A 20,157-nucleotide genomic window follows, 5' to 3' on the forward strand; every position below is an offset into this window, starting at 1 on the left:
CCATCACACTCCAGCCTGGGCAGCAGCAAGACTCCGTCTCAAGGCAAAAAAAAAAAAAAAGGACTTTGTTTGATAAAGAAATGCCACCTTTGTTAATTGCAGTGTCTTCTTTGTTTAAATATACTTTGGATGTTTTTCAGGTTAACTCTTCCAACATCCCTGGTTTTCTTCTCCTTTGAGTCTTTGATTATTATGTGGTATGTAATCACAGATTCAGATGGATTGAAACATAACCGGTGTAAACAACCTAGATGCTTTGAGGTAGAGCTAAATAACTCTTGAAGATTTGAAATGTGAGGAGAGAAGTAAATATCGGCTCAGAAGGGAAGAGATTTTTTTTTTTAAAGTTTTACCTCACTCCTCTTTAACTGCTTGTTTGCCATTACTTCCCACCCTGAATCCACATCCCACCACTGACACAAATACACACATTTGTCTGGGAGTAAGATGTAAGGTCAAACTGCTTAACTTGATTTCTTTGTCTTTACCTTAATTAGAGAGACCTTAGCACATACCTGTAATACATCATAAGTAAATAAAGAACTTCCTCAGTAAAGTCATTTTAAAGCATACTTTTTTCTTTGAATTTCCAATTTTTTTTGCCATATGCTGAAAAGCATAGTGCCCTGTGTTTGAATTACTTTTTGCTTAAATTAATTGTAATTTAGCCTTTTGTTAATATCAGTGAAGAGCCTCCAGTAGGGGGCACTCAAGACTAATAGGTTGCATAGTTCCTTATGTTTTTAACAGAAATAGCTTCACCTTTTCCGACTAAAAAAGCAATCCAAACAATAACATCAAATAGTAGGTAGTGTTTAAGAAGAGTGATGTAAATATAAACGTCCTAACATGGAAGAAGATATATACATATATGTTATTGAGTGAAGAAATTTAAGTTGTATATAAAATATATTTAATGTTACCTCAGTTTAGAGAAAACTTATAATTATATGTATGCATTTATATTTGTATATATGAAGAGAAAGATCTGAAAGGACCAAAACATTAACAGTGGCTACTTCTTTTTTATTTTTTTGGAGACAGAATCTTACTGAAGTGCAGTGGTACAATCAGGGCTCGCCACAGCCTCGACATCTCGGGCTCAAGTGATCCTGCCACCTCAGCCTCCCTAGTAGCTGAGACTAGAGGCACATGCCACCATGCCCGGCTAATTTTTGTATTTTTTTTTTTGTAGAGATGGGGTTTCACCATGTTGCCCAGCTGGTCAGAAGGCGGAGGTTGGGCTCAAGCGATCATCTGCCGGCCTCAGCCTCCTAAAGTACTAGGATTACATGCATAAGCCACTGTGCCCAGACTTGGCTTCTTCAAAGGATGGGATTTTGTAGGGTTAGGGACACACTTTCCCTCTCTTACTTTATAATTTCTTTGCTTGAAGGTTTTTTTTCCCAATTAACATATATATAACATGTATGGCTTTTGATAATGTATTTTATAATTTTAAGGCCAGATGTGGTAACTCACACCTGTAATCCCAGCACTTTTGGAAGGCCAAAGTGGGAGGACCGCCTGAAGCCAGGAGTTTGAGACCAGCCTGAACAACAAAGCTTGACCCCATCTCTAAAAAAAAAAATACATAAAATAAGAATAATTGGCCGGGCACGGCGGCTCACATCTGTAATGCCAGCACTTTGGGAGACTGAGGTGGGCGGATCATGAGGTCAGGAGTTCGAGACCAGCCTGACCAACATGGTGAAACCCCATCTCTACTAAAAATACAAAAAATAGTCAGGCGTGGTGGCATGCCTGTAATCCCAGCTACTCAGGAGGCTGAGGCAGGGGAATCATTTGAACCCAGAAGGCGGAGGTTGCAGTGAGCCAAGATTGCGCCACTGCACTCCATCCTGGGCGAGAGAGCAACACTCCATCTCAAAAAAAAAAAAAAAAAAAAAGAAATTTTAAGTTATGTATGCTTTTTGTAAAAGAAAAAAAAAGTTCTAAACAATAAAAAATGTAGGAAGCGATTATTCATTACTCAGAGATTGTGTAAATATTGTTGTCTGGTGTAAATATTTTTGCAGACTTCATGCATATACAAACTTACGTTTTAGAAAATGAGGTCATAGGCCAGGTGTGGTGGCTCACGCCTGTAATCCCAGCACTTTGGGAGGCCAAGGCGGGCAGATCACGAGGTCAGGAGATCGAGACCATCCTGGCTAACACGGTGAAACCCCATCTCTACTAAAAATACAAAAAAGTAGCTAGGCTTGATGGCGGGCGCCTGTAATTTCAGCTACTCGGGAGGCTGAGGCAGGAGAATGGCATGAACCCGGGAGGCGGAGCTTGCAGTGAGCTGAGATACGCCACTGCACTCCAGCCTGGGCGACAGAGCAAGACTCCGTCTCAAAAAAAAAAGAAAATGAGGTCATGCCACCGCAGTGGCTCACGCCTGTAATCCCAGCACTTTGGGAGGCCAAGGTGGGAGGATCACTTGAGCCCATGAGTTTGAGACCAGCCTGGGAAATATAGTGAGACTTCATCGCTACAAATTTTTAAAAAAATCTTAGCCAAGCATAGTGGCATGCACCTATAGTTCTAGCTACTTAAGCGGCTGAGGTGGGAGTATTGCTTGAGGCTGGGAGGCAAAGGTTGCAGTGAGCTGAGATCGCACCACTGCACTCCAGCCTAGGCAGCAGAGCAAGACCCTGTCTTCAAAAACACAAAAAGAAATGAAAATGAGGTCATATTATACATGCTATTATGCAAAGCAGTTTTCTGTTTTTCACTTAATATATTGTGAACATCTTTCCATGTATACTACTTTTTTTTTCCATGTACACTACTTATAAGTCTGCTTTACACTAACAGCTGCATAGTATTTTGCTGTATGACTGTAGCATAGGTTTTTTTTGTATTTGTATTTGTTTTTGGGTTTTCTTTTTTATGAGACAGGGTCTCGCTCTGTCATCCAGGCTAGAGTGCAGTGGCATGATCTTGGTTCACTGTAGCCTCAATCTCCTGGGCTTAAGCAATCCTTTCACCTCAGCCTCTTGAGTAACTGAGACCACAGGCACACACCACCACACCCAGCCAATTTTTAAATTTTTTGTAGAGGCTGGGCACGGTGGCTCACACCTATAACCCACCACTGTGGGAGGCCAGGGCAAGCAGATCACTTGAGGTCAGGAGTTCAAGACCAGCCTTGCCAACATGGTGAAACCTTGTCTCTACTAATAATACAAAAATTAGCCAGGTGTGTTGGTGCTCACCTGTAGTCCTAGCTACTTGGGAGGCTGAGGCAGGAGAATCACTTGAACTCGGGAGGTGGAGGTTGCAGTGAGCCAAGATCACACTGTTGCACTCCAGCCTGGGAGACACAGTGAGACTCTAGCTCCAAAATAAATAAATAAATAAGTTTTTTGTAGAGATGAGGTCTCACTATGTTGCCTAGGCTGTTCTTGAACTCCTGGGCTTAAGGGATCCATCTGCTTCAGCCTTCCATAGGCATGAGCCACTGTGCCCACCCTGTAGCGTAGTTTTTTTAACCACCTCCTTATTGATGGTCTCTCTCTTTTTTTTTTTTCTGTTTTAGATAGAGTCTTCCTCTCTCACCCAGGTTGGAGTACAGTGTCACACTCTTGGCTCACTGCAGCCTCCACCTCCCAGGTTCCAGAGCTTCTCATTCCACAGTCTCCCGAATAGCTGGGATTACAGGCGTGCACCACCACACCTGGCTAATTTTTGTATTTTTAGTAGAGATGGGGTTTCACCATGTTGGCCAGGCTGGTCTCAAACTCCTGACCTCAAGTGATCGACCCTCCTCGGCCTCCCAAAGTGCTGGGATTACAGGTGTGAGCCACCACAGCTAGTCTAGAATAAATTTCTTAAAGTGAAAATATTAAGCCAAAGGAATCGATTTTTGAACATTTTGTTTTATGTTATAAAATTACCCTCAGAAACTATGCTCCAAAGTATGTCTCTACAGCAATGAATGGGAACTCTTGTTTTCCCATATCTTTACCAACTTTGGGTACCAGTCTTTTATTTATTTATTTATATCTTTGAGACGGAGTCTCGCTCTGTCGCCCAGGTTGGAGTGCCATGGCGCGATCTTGGCTCACTGCAACCTGTGCCTCCTGGGTTCAAGAGATTCTCCTGCCTCAGCCTCCCGAGTAGCTGGAACTACAGGCGCGTGCCACCATGCCCGGCTAATTTTTTATATTTTTAGTAGAGATGGGTTTCACTGTGTTAGCCAGGATGGTCTCGATCTCCTGACCTCGTGATCCACCCGCCTCAGCCTCCCAAAGTGCTGGGATTATACGCGTGAGCCACCACGCCCAGCTAGGTACCAGTCTTTTAAATCTTTGCCAAATTGATATGGAGAAAGTCCTTTAAAAATATGTTTTTTGGATTATTGGCATAATTTTTTAAACAGCCTTAATGACATATATGATTCATCCTTGCAGTGTGCACAATTCAGTGATTTTCAGTGTATCCACAGAGTTTTGCAAACATCACCACTGTATAATTTTAGAATATTTCCGTCATCCTAAAAAAGAAACCCCAACCTCACAGTGAATTTCAGAATATTTAAAATGTCTGCTCCTTCAGTGTCACGTTTCAAATCTCATGCAAATTTTTCTTGCGGTCAACTATAACTTTGTACCCTATGGAGAAAGTAATTCTGGTTCTGGGAAACACACAGTTCCAGATTATTAAAAAAAAAAAAACAAAAAAAAACAAAAAACCTCTTTTCAGCTGGGTGCAATAGCTCACCCCTGTAATTCCAGCACTTTGGGAGGCCAAGGTGGGTGGATCACCTGAGGTCAGGAGTTCACAACCAGCCTGGCCAACATGGTGAAACCCCATCTCTACTAAAAATACAAAAAAATTAGCCAGTTGTGGTGGCAGGTGCCTGTAATCCCAGCTACTCAGGAGGCTGAGGCAGGAGAATTGCTTGAACCCAGGAGGCGGAGGTTGCAGCAAGCCAGGACCGCGCCATTGCACTCCAGCCTGGGCAACAAGAGCGAAACTCTGTCTCAAAAAAAAAAAAAAAAAAAAACCCTTTTCATTAGCTGTCATTCTCTATTCTACCCTCCCCCAGTCCCTCACAACCACTAGTATGCTTTCTGTTTCTGTGAATTTGTCTTTTCTGGACATTTTATATAAGCAGATCATACAGTATATGGCCTTTTATGTCTGACTTCTTTCACTTAGCGTGATGTTTTCAAGGTTTATCTGTATTTTAGCACCCATCAGTATCTTTTTAATGACTAATTTTGCATTTTATGGATATATCACATTTTGTTTATCTGTTCATTGGTTGAAGGACATTGCATGGCAGAAATATTTTTAAAGCTCTGAAGTTCATAATTTCAAGTGATTGTTACTTTACTGTTTTAAACTTTTGACCTGGCATGGTGGCTCACGCCTGTAATCCCAGCACTTTGGGAGGCCAAGCTGGGTGGATCACCTGAGGTCAGGAGTTCGAGACCAGCCTGGCCAACATGGTGAAACTCTGTCTTTACTAAAAATACAAAATTTAGCCAAGCGTGGTGGGGGACACCTGTAATCCTAGCTACTTGGGAGGCTGAGGCAGGAAACTCTCTTGAACCCAGGAGGCAGAGGTTGCAGTGAGCCGAGGTCATGCCACTGCACTCCAGCCTGAGCAACAGAGCAAGACTCTGTCTCGAAAAAAAAAAAAAAAAGCACTTATTCTTTAGAAGCTTGGCATAATCACATACTAATTTTCAGTTGTATCATGGAGGCCAATCGTTTTGCAAAAGTAATATAATTGCTATATAAATATTTGCTAATAATGGAAATTCTAATTTTGGCATGTTGAATACCTGGTAAATCAGTAGTTTGATTTATATTTTCCTAAAGATACGTAGTGCGTAAACTAAGTACTCTCTCTAAACCAGCACTGTCCAGTAGATCTGATGGAAAGATGAAAATGTACAGTCTAGTACAGTAGCTGCATGACTGTTCAGCACTTGAAATATAGCTAATACTACTGAGCTACTGAATTTATGATTTTAATTTAACTTTTTTATTTATTTTTTTTGAGATGGAGTCTCACTCTGTCGCCCAGGCTGGAGTGCAGTGGCGCGATCTTGGCTCACTGCAACCTCCTCCTCCCGGGTTCACGCCATTCTCCTCCCTCAGCCTCCCTAGTAGCTGGGACTACAGGCGCATGCCACCATGCCCAGCTATTTTTTTGTATTTTTAGTCGAGACAGGGTTTCACCATGTTAGCCAGGATGGCTTTGATATCCTGACCTTGTGATCCTCCCACCTCTGCCTCCCAAAGTACTGGGATTACCGGCACAAGCCACCACGCCTGGCTTCTAATGTAACTTTTTTTTTTTTTTTTAAGACGGAGTCTCGCTCTGTCACCCAGGCTGGAGTGCAGTGGCGCGATCTTGGCTCACTGCAAGCTCTGCCTCCCGGGTTCACCATTCTCCTGCCTCTGCCTCCTGGGTTCACACCATTCTCCTGCCTCAGCCTCCTGAGTAGCTGGGACTACAGGCACACACCACCACGCCCGGCTAATTTTTTGTGTATTTTTAGTAGAGACGGGGTTTCACCGTGTTACCCAGGATGGTCTCGCTCTGACCTCGTGATCCGCCCGCCTCGGCCTCCCAAAGTGCTGGGATTACAGTCGTGAGCCACCGCACCTGGCTAATTTAACTTTTAAAAGCTACACCTGGGCCAGGCACAGTGGCTCATGCCTATAATCCCAGCACTTTGGGAGGCCAAGGTGGGAGGATCACTTGAGGCCAGGAGTTCGAAGTTAATCTGGGCAACATAGCAAAACCCTGTTTCTACAAATAATTTAAAAATTAGTTAGGCATGCCTATAGTTCTAGCTAGTAGAACTTGTGCTTGAACTATAGTTCTAGCTACTGGGGAAGCTAAGGCAGGAAGATTGTTTGAGTCCACAACTTCAAGGCTGCAGTAAGCTATGATTGTGTCATTGCCCCCCAGCCTGGGTGACAGAGTGAGACCCCATTTCTAAAAACTATTCTTAAGAAAAGCTGCCGGCCGGGTGTGGTGGCTCATGCCTGTAATCCTAGCACTTTGGGAGGCCGAGGTGGAGATCACCTGAGGTCAGGAGTTCGAGACCAGCCTGACCAACATGGAGAAACCCCGTCTTTACCAAAAATACAAGCTTAACCAGGCATGGTAGCTCACACCTGTAATCCCAGCTACTCATGAGGCTGAGGCAGGGGAATCGCTTGAACTCAGGAGGCGGAGGTTGCAGTGAGCCAAGATCATGCCATTGCACTCCAGCCTGAGCAACAGAGTGAGACCTTGTCTCAAAGAAAAAAAGAAAAAGAAAGAAAAGCTGCCAATTTAAATTCCTGCTTAGCTTTTTCTAAGGTGCCCGATGAGAGGTAACAAATGGAGAATGCCCTGTGGCATGTAAGGGGAGGGGAGCTAGAAGAAAATCATGTCATCCACTTGGTATCTAATTGAGATCTAGATGGATCACAGATTTCTCCTTTGCGGTGAAACAGAAATTTTAGGGTGTTACCACTGCAGTGGGAACAGCCAAACAACCTTTTTTCTTTCGCAGTTTTCTTTTTCTTTTTTTTTGAGTTGGAGTCTTGCTCCTGTTGCCCAGGCTGGAGCGCAATGGTGCAATATTGGCTCACTGCAACCTCTGCCTCCTGGATTTCAGTGATTCTCCTGTCTCAGCCTCCCGAGTAGCTGGGGTTACAGGTGCCCGCCCCAACGTTCGGCTAATTTTTTGTAATTTTGGTAGAGATGGGGTATCGCCATGTTGGCCTGGCTGGTCTCGAACTCCTGACCTCAGGTGATCTACCTGCCTCGGCCTCCCAAAGTGCTGGGATTATAGGCATGAGCCACCGCGCCTGGGCTGTTTCTCGGTTTTCTTACATAAAAAACTCATTTTCAGAGTAGACACCTTTTTCTTACTGCTTTTCATGGAATTTCATTATCAGTTTTAGTTTGCAATATTAACTCTTTTTTTCTGGAGGGAAGATATGTATTAGAAGAGTATATAAAGTAACCATTTCTGGAGATTTGGGGATGGAAAGATAACAGATCTGACTTCTGTGTTAAGTCAGCCTTAAACGCTTTTGTTTTCCCTGCTTTATTTAAAATTACTGTCTTTCAAAACCTGGAACCTTTTTTGTAGGTCAGTATTTATACAAAGAGAATTAGCAATATGAAACCTTGAGGGCCATCTGTGAGTTGCAAAGCAACACCTGTGGCTGTTAATAGCTGAGTAGCATAATCATAATTTGGAGTCATTTGACCTGACTACTAGGATTTTTTTTTTCCTAGTTCATCTACTTATATTGTACCTTCTTTATGAGTTTTAAGTCTCTTCTCATAATTTGTTGCCTCAGTTTCTTTTTTTCCTATAAAATTATAAACAGTAATACTATATTTGCTTCCTTCTTAAAAGTATAAACATTGAGGTATTTGTTAAGGATTTCATATTCCTTTCAATAAAAATATTCTAGGGAGGCAATAGTGATAAAGAACATGGACTCAGGCCAGGCACAGTGACACATGCTTATAATCCCGGCCCTTTGGGAGGCCGAGGTGGGTGGATCACTTGAGGTCAGGAGTTCGAGACCAGGCCGGCCAACATGGTAAAACCCCATCTTTACTAAAAATGCAAAAAATTAGCCAGGCATGGTGGCAGGCACCTGTAATCCTAGCTACTTGGGAGGCTGAGGCAGGAGAATAGCTTGAACCCGGGAGGCGGAGATTGCAGTGAGCCGAGATCGCGCCATTGCACTCCAGCCTGGGCAACAGAGCGAGACTCAGTCTTTCTTTTTTGAGACAAGGTCTTGCTTGGTCATCAGGCTGGGGTACGGTGACAGAATCATGGCTCACTGCTGCTTCAACCTCCTGGGCTCAACCAATTCTCCTGCCTCAGCCTCCTGAGTAGCTGGGACTACAGTTGTGCACCACCATGCCCAGCTAATTTTTTAAAAAGTTTTTTGTAGGTCAGGTACAGTGGCTTATGCCTGTAATCCCAGCATTTTGGGAGGCTGAGGCAGGAGGATTGTGTGAGCCCAGGAGTTCAAGATCAGCCTGGGCAACATAGCAAGACCCTGTCTCTTAAAAAAAAAGTTTTATGAGCTAGATGTGGCAAACACCTCTAGTCCCAGCTGTTCAAGAGGCTGAGGTGGGAGGATCATGTGAGTCTAGGACTTCAAGGACCACCTGGGCAACATAGCAAGACCCCATCTCTAAAGTATGAAAATAAAATACTTTATGATCAGTAGAATCATATTTTCAGGTAACTACATCTTTTTATGGGTGGATTTTTAATTTTTTTTTTTTTTTTTGAGATGGAGTCTCACTCTGTTGCCCAGGCTGGAGTGCAGTAGCGCTATCTCAGCTCACTGCAGGCTCTGCTCCCCGGGTTCACGCCATTCTCCTGTCTCAGCCTCCTGAGCAACTGGGACTACAGGCGCCCGCCACCACGCCCAGCTGATTTTTTATATTTTTAGTAGAGACAGGGTTTCACCGTGTTAGCCAGGATGGTCTCGATCTCCTGACCTCGTGATCCGCTCACCCTGTTAGCCAGGATGGTCTCGATCTCCTGACCTCGTGATTCGCCCGTCTTGGCCTCCCAAAGTGCTGGGATTTAAAATTTTTTATCAGAAAAATTTGTATTACTTAAATGGCTGGCTATAATAGGTAGATTAATTTCATATTACTAAAATCACAGGCTGGGCGCGGTGGCTCACACCTGTAATACCAGCACTTTGGGAGGCCAAGGCAGGCAGATCACGAGGTCAGGAGATCGCGACCATCCTGACTAACACGGTGAAACCCCGTCTCTACTGAAAAAATACAAAAAAATTAGCTGGGTGTGGTGGTGGGCGCCTGTAGTCCCAGCTACTTGGGAGGCTGAGGCAGGAGAATGGTGTGAACCCAGGAGGCAGAGCTTGCTGTGGGCAGAGATTGTGCCACTGCACTCCAGCCTGGGTGACTGAGCGAGACTCTGTCTCAAAAAAAAAAATAAAATAAAAAATAAAATCACAAGACTGTTTACTTGATTATTTATTTATTTATTTATTTAGTGAGACAGAGTTTTGCTCTTTTGTCCAGGCTGGAGTGAAGTGGCACGCTCTTGGCTCACTGCAACCTCTGCCTGCCCCAGGTTCAAATGATTCTCCTGCCTCAGCCTCCGGAGTAGCTGGGATTACAGGTGCATGCCACCATGTCTGGTTAATTTTTGTATTTTTAGTAGAGATGGGGTTTCACAATCTTGGCCAGACTGGTCTACTTGATAATTTTCAAAGAGACTCACCTAATTTTCTTACATTTTGTTTTTGTAGGTAATTTTAACCAATCAGATGACAACAAAGATTGATAGAAATCAGGCCTTGCTTGTTCCTGCATTAGGTGGGTAATTAATCAGATAAACATTTTAGTTTATCACAGTTTTTCTTATCTCTTTCATTTGATTCTCATTGAGTACTATACGCTTCATGAAAGCAGACTGTATTTGTCTTGTTCACTGGTTAATCTTAGCACTAAGCACAGTACCGTTAGATACTGATTGTTCCTTTTAGTTATTTAACATTTATTGAGTGGCCAGACACAGTGTCCCACACCTGTAATCCCAACACCTTGGGAGGCCGAGGCGGATCACTTGAGGCCAGGAGTTCAAGACCAGCCTGGCCAATATGGTGAAACCCCATCTCTACTAAAAATACAAAAAATTAGCCAGGCATGGTGGCACACACTTGTAATCCCACCTACTTGGGAGGCTGAGGAGTGAGAATTGCTTGAACTTGGGAGGCGCAGGCTGCAGTGAGCTGGGATCGTGCATCTGCACTCCAGCCTGGGGGACAGAGTAAGACTCTCTCAAAAAATTGCGTATCTACTGTCTGGCAACTGTTGTGTCAAAGATTCTTGCCCCCAGGGAGTTCACAGTGTTAGGGAGAAGGAAAGGTGAATCCACTTAAATACAAATCACACTACAGTGAATATCGTGGTTTTGTTAGAATGTAGTGCTTCAAGATTTATTTCCACTAAAATCTTAAAGAATATTCTACCAGAGTCTTGGCCAGGTACAGTGGCTTATGCCTGTAATCTCAGCACTTTGGGAGGCTGAGGCGGGTGGATCACCTGAGGTCGGGAGTTTGAGAGCAGCCTGACCAACATGGAGAAACCCCATCTCTATTAAAAATACAAAATTAGATGAGCATGGTGGCACATTCCTGTAATCCCAGCTACTTGGGAGGCTGAGGCAGGAGAATCGCTTGAACCTGGGGGGCAGAGGTTGCAGTAAGCCACGGTCGCGCCATTGCACTCCAGCCTGGGCAACAAGAGTGAAACTCTGTCTCAAAAAAAAAAAAAATGTATCTGCCCTTGACTAGTTTTCAACTAATGGCATAGATCATTCTATAAACAGATAATGTAGTAAAGGTTACAATAGAAAGTACAGGGTACTGTACAAAGGACGGATTCTAACCTGGCCCAGGTGAGCAGGATGAAAAGGAGGAAGGTTAGGGAAGGGAGTGTAATAGTCTGTCATGTTTCTTCCAGCTGTTTTTGTCATTTTCTATCACCCACTTAAGCAAGAGCTTCCTAATGTTTGGATCCACTCAGGGGTAATCAAACTCAGCCTTTCTCAAACTCATGCCCTCAGCACACTATGATAAATCAGAAAGCAAATTTATAAATTTAGTGAGAATTACAGTTGTCAAGCAGAATGAAGTTTATGTTTTCTAGTCAGTTTATTTTCTTCCCAGATACCAGGAAGTTGGGAAAGCAGGGGTTCAGAGTTGGTAAGCAGAGAAGCAAATAAATGGAAATGGATGCCCTCAGGAATATTATGCTTAAGTTGTGATAATTCTGATGCCCTCCTTGGTTTACTAGCAGAACGCCCTTTACCTTGGATATTGCTAGGATATTGTTCAATAGAATGGTCAGTTATGATAGAAGTGTTCTATGTCTGTGCTCTTCAGTACAGTAGCCCTTGCTACATGTGGCTATTGAGGCATTTAAAATGTGGCTAATGCAGCTGTGGAATGGAATGTTTAATTGAATTTTACTTAAATTTAAATTGCACATGTGGCAAGTGACTGCCCTGTTGTGTAGTGCAGCACTGGATAAACATAACTCCTGTGTTCTAGACTCCAATCCCACCATTAGCTTTCTGTTTTTGACAGTGTTTGCTAGTATGATAGGTCACTGCTCATTTTACATTACTATCAGTTTAGTTTCCTTTATATTTCAGAGGCTCCCTAATCCCTTAAAGAGATTTAAAAATCAACGTAGACCACTTCTGTATGAAAATAAGATGGCTGAATTTGCTTTGATTGGAATTAGGAACTGGCGCTCTCTTTGCTAGTTCTGGAATTTGGCCAGGATGCACATCAAAATCTCATTCCTACCCTCCTGATTTGCCTCATGCAAACTTTGTTGCTGTGTCTGTTCTTTGGTCTTCTATTGCTGTGTCTCAGCTTTAGATTATATGTCTTGCGTAGAAATGGATCATCAGAATGCAACAGGCAGAAGACTTAGAATTGCAAATCAGTAGGGTAATGACAAACCCTTTGAGCTGAGTGGGACTGAAAAGTAACCTAACATATAACCTATTAGTAATTGTTAACCATGAAGATTTTCAGTGCTGGACACATAAATTGCTGAGTTCAACTGCCCTCTTTGCCCTCCAAATCTAGCATAAAACAAATTGGTGATCTCAGGCCAGTTTCACACCTAATATGACTAATAATAAAAGTCTTGTGTTTCAGGAACTCAGTTTGTCCAAACCTGAGCCCATCATCTCTACCTCACAAATTATATCCACCTTTTCATTTCCTTGCACTGTGTCTGCATGATATGATAATACTCCCAAGCACTATTGCTTAAATCTTGAGTTACACTTAATGCTTTTTTTTTTGGTCTTTTTTCTTTTTAATGTGAAATAGAATATACAAATGAAAATGTATATTTAGAAGAACAATAATAAATGTCCAGGTGCCCATTGCTCAGACTGACAAATGGAACATTACTACCCCCCAGGAGCCTCGTATGCTCTCCCCCCAAGAGGCAACCACTATCCTGAATTTTGTGTAATTGTCACCTAGCTTTTATAGATTTTACTGTCTGTGTATCCCTAATAGTTGCTTATTTCTAGCCTTTATATAAATAGAATTATACTGTATATGACTGACAACTTTTGCTCATTATTATTTTTTGATTCATCCATGTTGATGTGTGACACTGTAGTTCATTTCGATGACATGAATATGCCACAACTTAATTATATATTCTGTTGATGTCAAAAAAAAAAAAAGAATATTCTACCAGAGTTTTTACTTTTCTTCTGGAGGTCAGAAATACGTTAGGCTTGATGATATGGAAAATTGACACATATATGGACTCAGACAATAAAGTTTTCTAAAAGCAAATAGAGAATAATGATTTGCAGTATTTCCCTAGATAGGTAAAAACCTTGTAATCTCAGGATATTACTCATTTTCCAGGTTTTTTGAAAGCAAGTATACTTTCGTTATGTTAAATTAATAAAGTAAGATTATATTTGATCAGAGGCGTTCTGAGAAATGTATAACCAAGTCAGTAAGGCCATATACAGTTATTATGTTTTTTACTCTCAGGGGAAAGTTGGGGACATGCTGCTACAATACGGCTAATCTTTCATTGGGACCGAAAGCAAAGGTCAGTACAGAAACAAGTTAATAACTCCGAATATTGGGTTAATTATACTGAATGAACACTTACAGGTTTCTTAGAGCTAGTCCTGTGGATGAGATATACAGTGACCCATGAAGTGACACTTTTGTTGCCTTGTCTGATATCACCTAGAGCAAACATAGAAATGTGTTGTTATTACTGCATATTTAGCTACATAGGAAATTCTCTGGAATATTTAAATGATGGGGCGCATGCACCTGAAATGAGTAGGTGGCCAAGGAATGCCATTTTCTAAAGCTCTTCGAAATAATTTATTAGCCATGTAGAAGGAGGTGAGTACTCTGTGTTCCTGGAAGAGATTGAAAAAAAAAAGAATAAAATCAGGACAAAAGGAAAATTGTTGAGGTTACCTTTAAAATTAATTTATTTGGAACATACGATGGTTTCTCTTATTTGCTTAGTATATTTCTTGTATGAAATTGTGTCTGTTTTTTTTTTTATTTTGTATTTTGCTGTCCAGCTTTTATTATCCAGTTACTTACCTGCATTTCACAAGTATTGTTCTTTAAAAGTATGGCAGCATGAAATCTTTGTATTTGTTTTTAAAGCTGCTGAGCAAGTGAACAAACCAGCTTTTATTTTCTTGAAAATAGACCATTGAAAGCTGTGAAGTCTTTTCTACACTTCTAGAAAATGTCAGATTCATGCTAGCCTCTCCGCTTTGTGATTAATTGGTATAACCTAGAGGTCTTGGTTTGGAAATGCTCTAATAAAGGGAGAAATTAAAATGGCATGTGGGCAAAGATGGAATAAAAGGTCACTTAAATACATATTGGGCCTAGCCAGTGAAAATGTCTATTTTTTAATCTATATTTCTTTGTTGTTCTACAAACTGAAAAAAATCCTGCCTGACCAAGTTAGGTTTTACGGACCTGAAGCTCATAACAGAATGATTACACTTCTGTATATATCTTTTGCAACTGATCGTGCAGTTTGGGTCTTCTTTAAAAATGGTATTTGCAAAGAGCTCAGGTAGTGTTTTTTTTCCCCCACAATACGTAGTGCTTTACTATTGACTGTCGCCCCCTAATTTAAACACATTTTTTACTCTAAACCAGTATGACTGGTAAATCCTCCCCCTAATTTTTTTTCTATGATCACAATTTAAGGTAGTTCCTCCTAGTTTTGTAAGTAAGTTGCTGTATACTAGAGTCACAAAAGGAGTTATTTTCTCGGCACCAAACCTTATTGTAAAGATTTGGCAACAGTTCTCCAGCTGTCTTTTGAACATATTGCTTATACTTTCCCAGTTTTAGGTTATTCTGTAAAGCACATTCCGTCATTTATTTTTTCATAGGAATTACGCCTGAGTTAGTATACAGTAGTCTTCTTCAGACTATAATTAAATATTTACTAATAAAATGCATTTAAGAAGAAAAATAATAGGAACAGAGCAAGATATTTCATCTTTTTATGAACTCAACAGGAGGAAAAGTTTGCCTTCTTTGTCAAGTTCTAGAAGTTAGCATTGATAAGTTATCCAAGAGATCAGAAAATCACGCTTACCATGAGTTAACCATTGTATGAATTCACCTTCTTACAAATCCTTCCCAAGAAATTAGAAACTAAAGTACATGGCCGGATGCAGTGGCTCACACCTGTAATCTCATCACTTTGGGAGGCTGAGGTAGGTGGATCATGGGGTCAAGAGATCAAGACCATCCTGGCCAACATGGTGAAACCCCATCTCTACTAAAAATAAAAAATTAGCTGGGCGTGATGGCACACACCTTTAGTCCCAGCTACTCAGGAGGCTGAGGCAGGAGAATCACTTGAACCCAGGAGGCGGAGGTTGCAGTGAGCCAAGATTGTGCCACTGCCCTCCAGCCTGGTTACAGAGTGAGACTCCATCCACCCCCTGCAAAAAAAAAAAAAAAAAACAAGAAAATGATGTACAACACCAACACTGAATATAGATAGATTGGGGGAAATCTGCTGTTCTATAATATTTTTTCTACATCTCATAAGATCATTTTTTTAATTCTTATTTTTATTTTATTTATTTTTCATACTCTCATTTTAGTGAGTGCTTGCTTGTGCTAGGTATTTTACTAGGCACTTTAAATATAACATTTCAGATAATCTTTTCAATAATTATTTGCAGAATGTATACCTATTATTATTAAAAGAAAACCAAGGCCCAGAAAGGTTAACTGAATAAGTAGTAAATAATAGCTACTATTTATTGAATATTTCTTAACTGTCCTTTATTGTGCAAAGCACTGTATGTATATATGTGTACATATATACGTGTATGTATATATGTGTATATATATAGATTATATGTATATATGTGTATACGTATAGATGTATATACATATGTATATATGTGTATACGTATAGATGTATATACATATGTATATATGTGTATACGTATAGATGTATATACATATGTATATATGTGTATAAGTATAGATGTATATACATATGTATATATGTGTATACATATAGATGTATATATGTATATACGTGTATGTATATATGTGTATACGTATAGATGTATATACGTATACGTATAGATGTATATACATATACGTATGTATATGTGTGTGTATATATATAATTTCATGTTATTTTCCACGTAAATCTTTGAAATAGTGTTACCAGATGAGATCAGGCACATTCAGGGTGGTATGGCTGTAGACTGAAAATAGTATTATCTACATTTTATAGCTGACTTTATAAACTTTTTTATTTTTTTTGAGACGGAGTCTCGCTCTGTCGCCCAGGCTGGAGTGCAGTGGCGCGATCTCGGCTCACTGCAAGCTCTGCCTCCCAGGTTCACGCCATTCTCCTGCCTCAGCCTCCCGAGTAGCTGGTACTACAGGCGCCTGCCACCACGCCCAGCTAATTTTTTGTATTTTTAGTAGAGACGGGGTTTCACCGTGTTAGCCAGGATGGTCTCGATCTTCTGACCTCGTGATCCACCCGCCTCGGCCTCCCAAAGTGCTGGGATTACAGGCATGAGCCACCGCACCCGGCCTTATAAACTTTTTTTTTTTTTTGAGAGGGAGTTTCGCTCTTTTTGCCCAGGCTGGGGTGCAATGGCGAGATCTTGGCTCACTTCAACCTCCACTTCCTGGGGTCAAGTGATTCTCTTGTCTCAGCCTGCCGAGTAGCTGGGATTGTAGGCGCCTGCCACCACACCTTGCTAATTTTGTATTTTTAGTAGAGGTGGGATTTCACTATGTTGGCCAGGCTGGTCTTGAACTCCTGATGTCAGGTGACCTGCCCACCTCAGCCTCTCAAAGTGCTGGGATTACAGGCATGAGCCACCGCACTCGGCCATAGCTGACTTTATGGAGTTCATTTCTTTTCTTCTATAATAACTGTTTCTAGAAGGTAATTGTAGTATTGTGTTGATTGCCAGCCAATCTGAATATGTAGCTTACTCCTTTTTTTAGGTAAAATCTTTTTTCTTCAAACTTTTTTTTTTCGGGCTGTGGATATATGATAAATAATGTACATACTTTATGTAATCAAAATAAATTGACCTCATTTAATAGCATTAAAGTAGTTTTGTTCTTTATCATTTGAAACCTGACATCTTTAAGTTGTTAAAGTTGCATGAACTTGAGCCCAGAAGTTGGAGAACAGCCTGGCCGAAATGGCAAGACACCACCTCTATAGATAATAAAAAATTAGCCAGGTGTGGTGGTGCACACCTATAGTTCTAGCTGTTTGGGAGGCCAGAGTTGGGAAAATCACTTGAGCCCTGGAAGTCAGGGTGGCAGTGAGCTATGATTGAGCTATTATACTTCAGGCTGGGCCGCAAAATGGGACCCCATCTCTAAGATATTAAAAAAAAAAAAAAAGTTACATGAGGCCGGGCGCAGTGGCTGACACCTGTAATCCCAGCACTTTGGGAGGCCAAGGCAGGTGGATCACCTGAGGTTGGGAGTTCTAGACCAGCCTGGCCAATATGGGGAAACTGTGTCTCTACTAAAAATACAAAAAAATTAGCCAGGCATGGTGGCGGGCACCTGTAATCCCAACTACTCAGGAGGCTGAGGTAGGAGAATCACTTGAACCCAGGAGGCAGAGGTTGCAGTGAGCCAAGATTGCACCACTGCACTCCAGCCTGGGCAGCAGAGTAAGACTCTGTCTCAAAAAAAAAAAAAGTTGCATGAAATTTTGTATGCTTTATGCTTTTTAAATTTTAGGTTATTTTAAAAGGATGGAAATAGAAATTCATATCAGGGAAAAATAGTTATAAAAATGAACATTTTTCATTTGGAGAGGAAGACTAAAAATCTTTTTTTTTTTTCTTTTTTTTTTTGAGACAGGATCTCACTCTGTTGCCCAGGCTAGAGTGCAGTGGTGCAATCTCAGCTCACTGCAACCTCAACCTCCTGGGCTCAAGCAGTCCTCCCACCTCAGCCTCCCAAGTAGCTGGGACCACAGGCATGTACCACCACACCCAGCTAATTTTTGTAATTTTTGTAGAGATGGGGTTTTGCCGTGTTGCCCAGGCTGGCCTCGAACTCCTAAACTCAGTCAGTCCACCTACCTCGGCCTCCTAAAGTACTGGGATTATAGGCGTGAGCCACAGCACCCGTCCAGAAACTAAAAATCTTGAATAGCCAAATTATATTGGGCATTGAACTTAGGTGTGCTGTCTCATGCCCCAGCCCCTGTCCTTCACCAGTAACACCTGATTTTTACCCTTAGACTAATGATGGAATAATATTCCAACAGTTATTAAAAGAAATACTTTTGTCTATGTCCTTATATTATGTGAGTTTTCCTCCAATTTGCATATTCATGGTTATATGAGGCCAAGATTATTCAGAATTACACTACTCTTTGCCAAGACGATCTGGTGGTAGAGTGGAGTAATAAATCAACACCCCCACACAGTGTTTCATATGTGTGCTCAGTTTTAGAGCACAAATTGTGCTTCTGTCTTATTTCTTCCTGACCCAAACTATGTAGTTCAGCCATATGTTAAGCTACATCTCAGCTGGGGCCATGAGCCAAGTGATTCTTTGGTTTAGTTTTCATTTTAAAAGATCTCTGAAGAGACATGATGCATAAAAGTGGTATTTTTACCTAGAAATTTGAGGATGATTTTTTTGTTTTGTTTGGTTTTGTTTTTGAGATGGAGTTTCGCTTTTGTTGCCCAGGCTGGAGTGCAGTGGCGCAATCTCAGCTCACTACAACCTCGGCCTCCCGGGTTCAATCGATTCTTCTGCCTCAGCCTCCCGAGTAGCTGGGATTACAGGCATGCACCACCACGCCTGGCTAATTTTTTGTATTTTTAGTTGAGATGGGGTTTCTCCATGTTGGTCAGGCTGGCCTCGAATTCTCGACCTCAGGTGATCCACCTCGGCCTCCCAAAGGGCTGGGATTACAGGTGTGAGCCACCGCGCCCGGCCTGAGGATGATTTTCAACCTGAATAATTAATGCCCCTTTGACTTTAGGATTCTTTTTTTGTTTTGTTTTGTTTTTTGAGATGGAGTCTCACTCTGTCACCCAGGCTGGAGTGCAGTGGCGCCATATCGGCTCCCTGCAACCTCCACCTCCCTGATTCAAGTGATTCTCTTGCCTCAGCCTCCCAAGTAGCTGGGATTATAGGCATGCGCCACCACACTTGGCTAACTTTTGTATTTTTAGTAGAGACAGGGTTTCACCATTTTGACCAGGCTGGTCTCGGATGCCTGACCTCAAGTGACCTGCCCACCTCAGCCTCCCAAAGTGCTGGATTATAGACATGAGCCACTGTGCCCGGCCGACTTTAGGATTCTTAACAAGCATGTAAATGCTTCTTAAAAGCTTTTCACTTTTTAATAATTTCCTCAGGATAGATGTACTAGGCACCTTTTTTGGACATACTGTTGATATGAGGTGATTTAGATACCAATTTTTCAGAAGGCTAGCTGATTTTCATCATTCAAAAAATGACTTCTTAATAAGGCAGGTTAAAATACACCTTGCCTCTCTTTTTCTGTGAATTTTTGCATTAAAGATAGATTATCAACCCTAGGGAATTATAAAAGTTTATAATTCCACTCAACACAGCTGTTCTTTTTTTTTTTTTTTTTTGAGATGGAGTCTCGCCCTGTCGCCCAGGCTGGAGTGCAGAGGCACGATCTCGGCTCACTGCAACCTCCACCTCCCCAGTTCAAGTGATTCTCCTACCTCAGCCTCCTCAGTAGCTGGGATTACAGGTGCGTGCCACCACGCCCAGCTAATTTTTTTTTTTTTTTTTTGTATCTTTAGTAGAGATGGGGGTTTCACCGTGTTGGCCAGGCTGGTCTTGAACTCCTGACCTCGTGATCTGCCTGCCTCAGCCTCCCAAAGTGCTGGGATTACAGGCGTGAGCCACCGCACCCAGCCTCAACATAGCTATTCTTGTATTACATATTACTTAGCAATTATTTATGTTTAAAGTTGCAATTACAGAGTATAGAACATTTTGGATTCTGCTGTATTTTGGTCTGTGTTTTTCTTTTGAATTGTGTCTGAGAAGAGG

The 20,157-nt window shown here is 41.6% G+C and overlaps 1 protein-coding gene and 1 long non-coding RNA gene across 8 annotated transcripts in view; one reads left to right on the forward strand and one right to left on the reverse strand.

Moving 5' to 3' along the window:
- RAD51C (RAD51 paralog C) overlaps positions 1-20,157 on the forward strand; it is a 43,039-nt gene that overhangs the window by 17,883 nt on the left and 4,999 nt on the right. For 5 of the 6 annotated variants that reach the window (NR_103872.2, XM_006722004.4, XM_006722001.5 and 2 more), the window contains 2 exons: positions 10,291-10,357; positions 13,585-13,645. Coding sequence is in view for 5 of the 6 variants with exons in the window: in XM_006722004.4 (XP_006722067.1) it covers positions 10,291-10,357; positions 13,585-13,645 (128 nt within the window). In the remaining variant the exon portion in view is untranslated. The remainder of the gene's footprint in view (positions 1-10,290; positions 10,358-13,584; positions 13,646-20,157) is intronic. The other variant, XM_006722002.5, reaches the window with a different exon arrangement.
- The window catches only part of LOC105371843 (uncharacterized), a 31,958-nt gene continuing 25,498 nt past the window's right edge, over positions 13,698-20,157 (reverse strand). For both annotated transcript variants that reach the window (XR_007065866.1, XR_007065865.1), the window contains 2 exons: positions 13,879-13,970; positions 13,698-13,788 (listed from right to left, as the gene is read on the reverse strand). This is a non-coding gene — a long non-coding RNA (uncharacterized LOC105371843). The remainder of the gene's footprint in view (positions 13,789-13,878; positions 13,971-20,157) is intronic.

The sequence above is a fragment of the Homo sapiens genome, chromosome 17 (assembly GCF_000001405.40).
Source record: "Homo sapiens chromosome 17, GRCh38.p14 Primary Assembly".
NCBI lineage: Eukaryota > Metazoa > Chordata > Mammalia > Primates > Hominidae > Homo > Homo sapiens.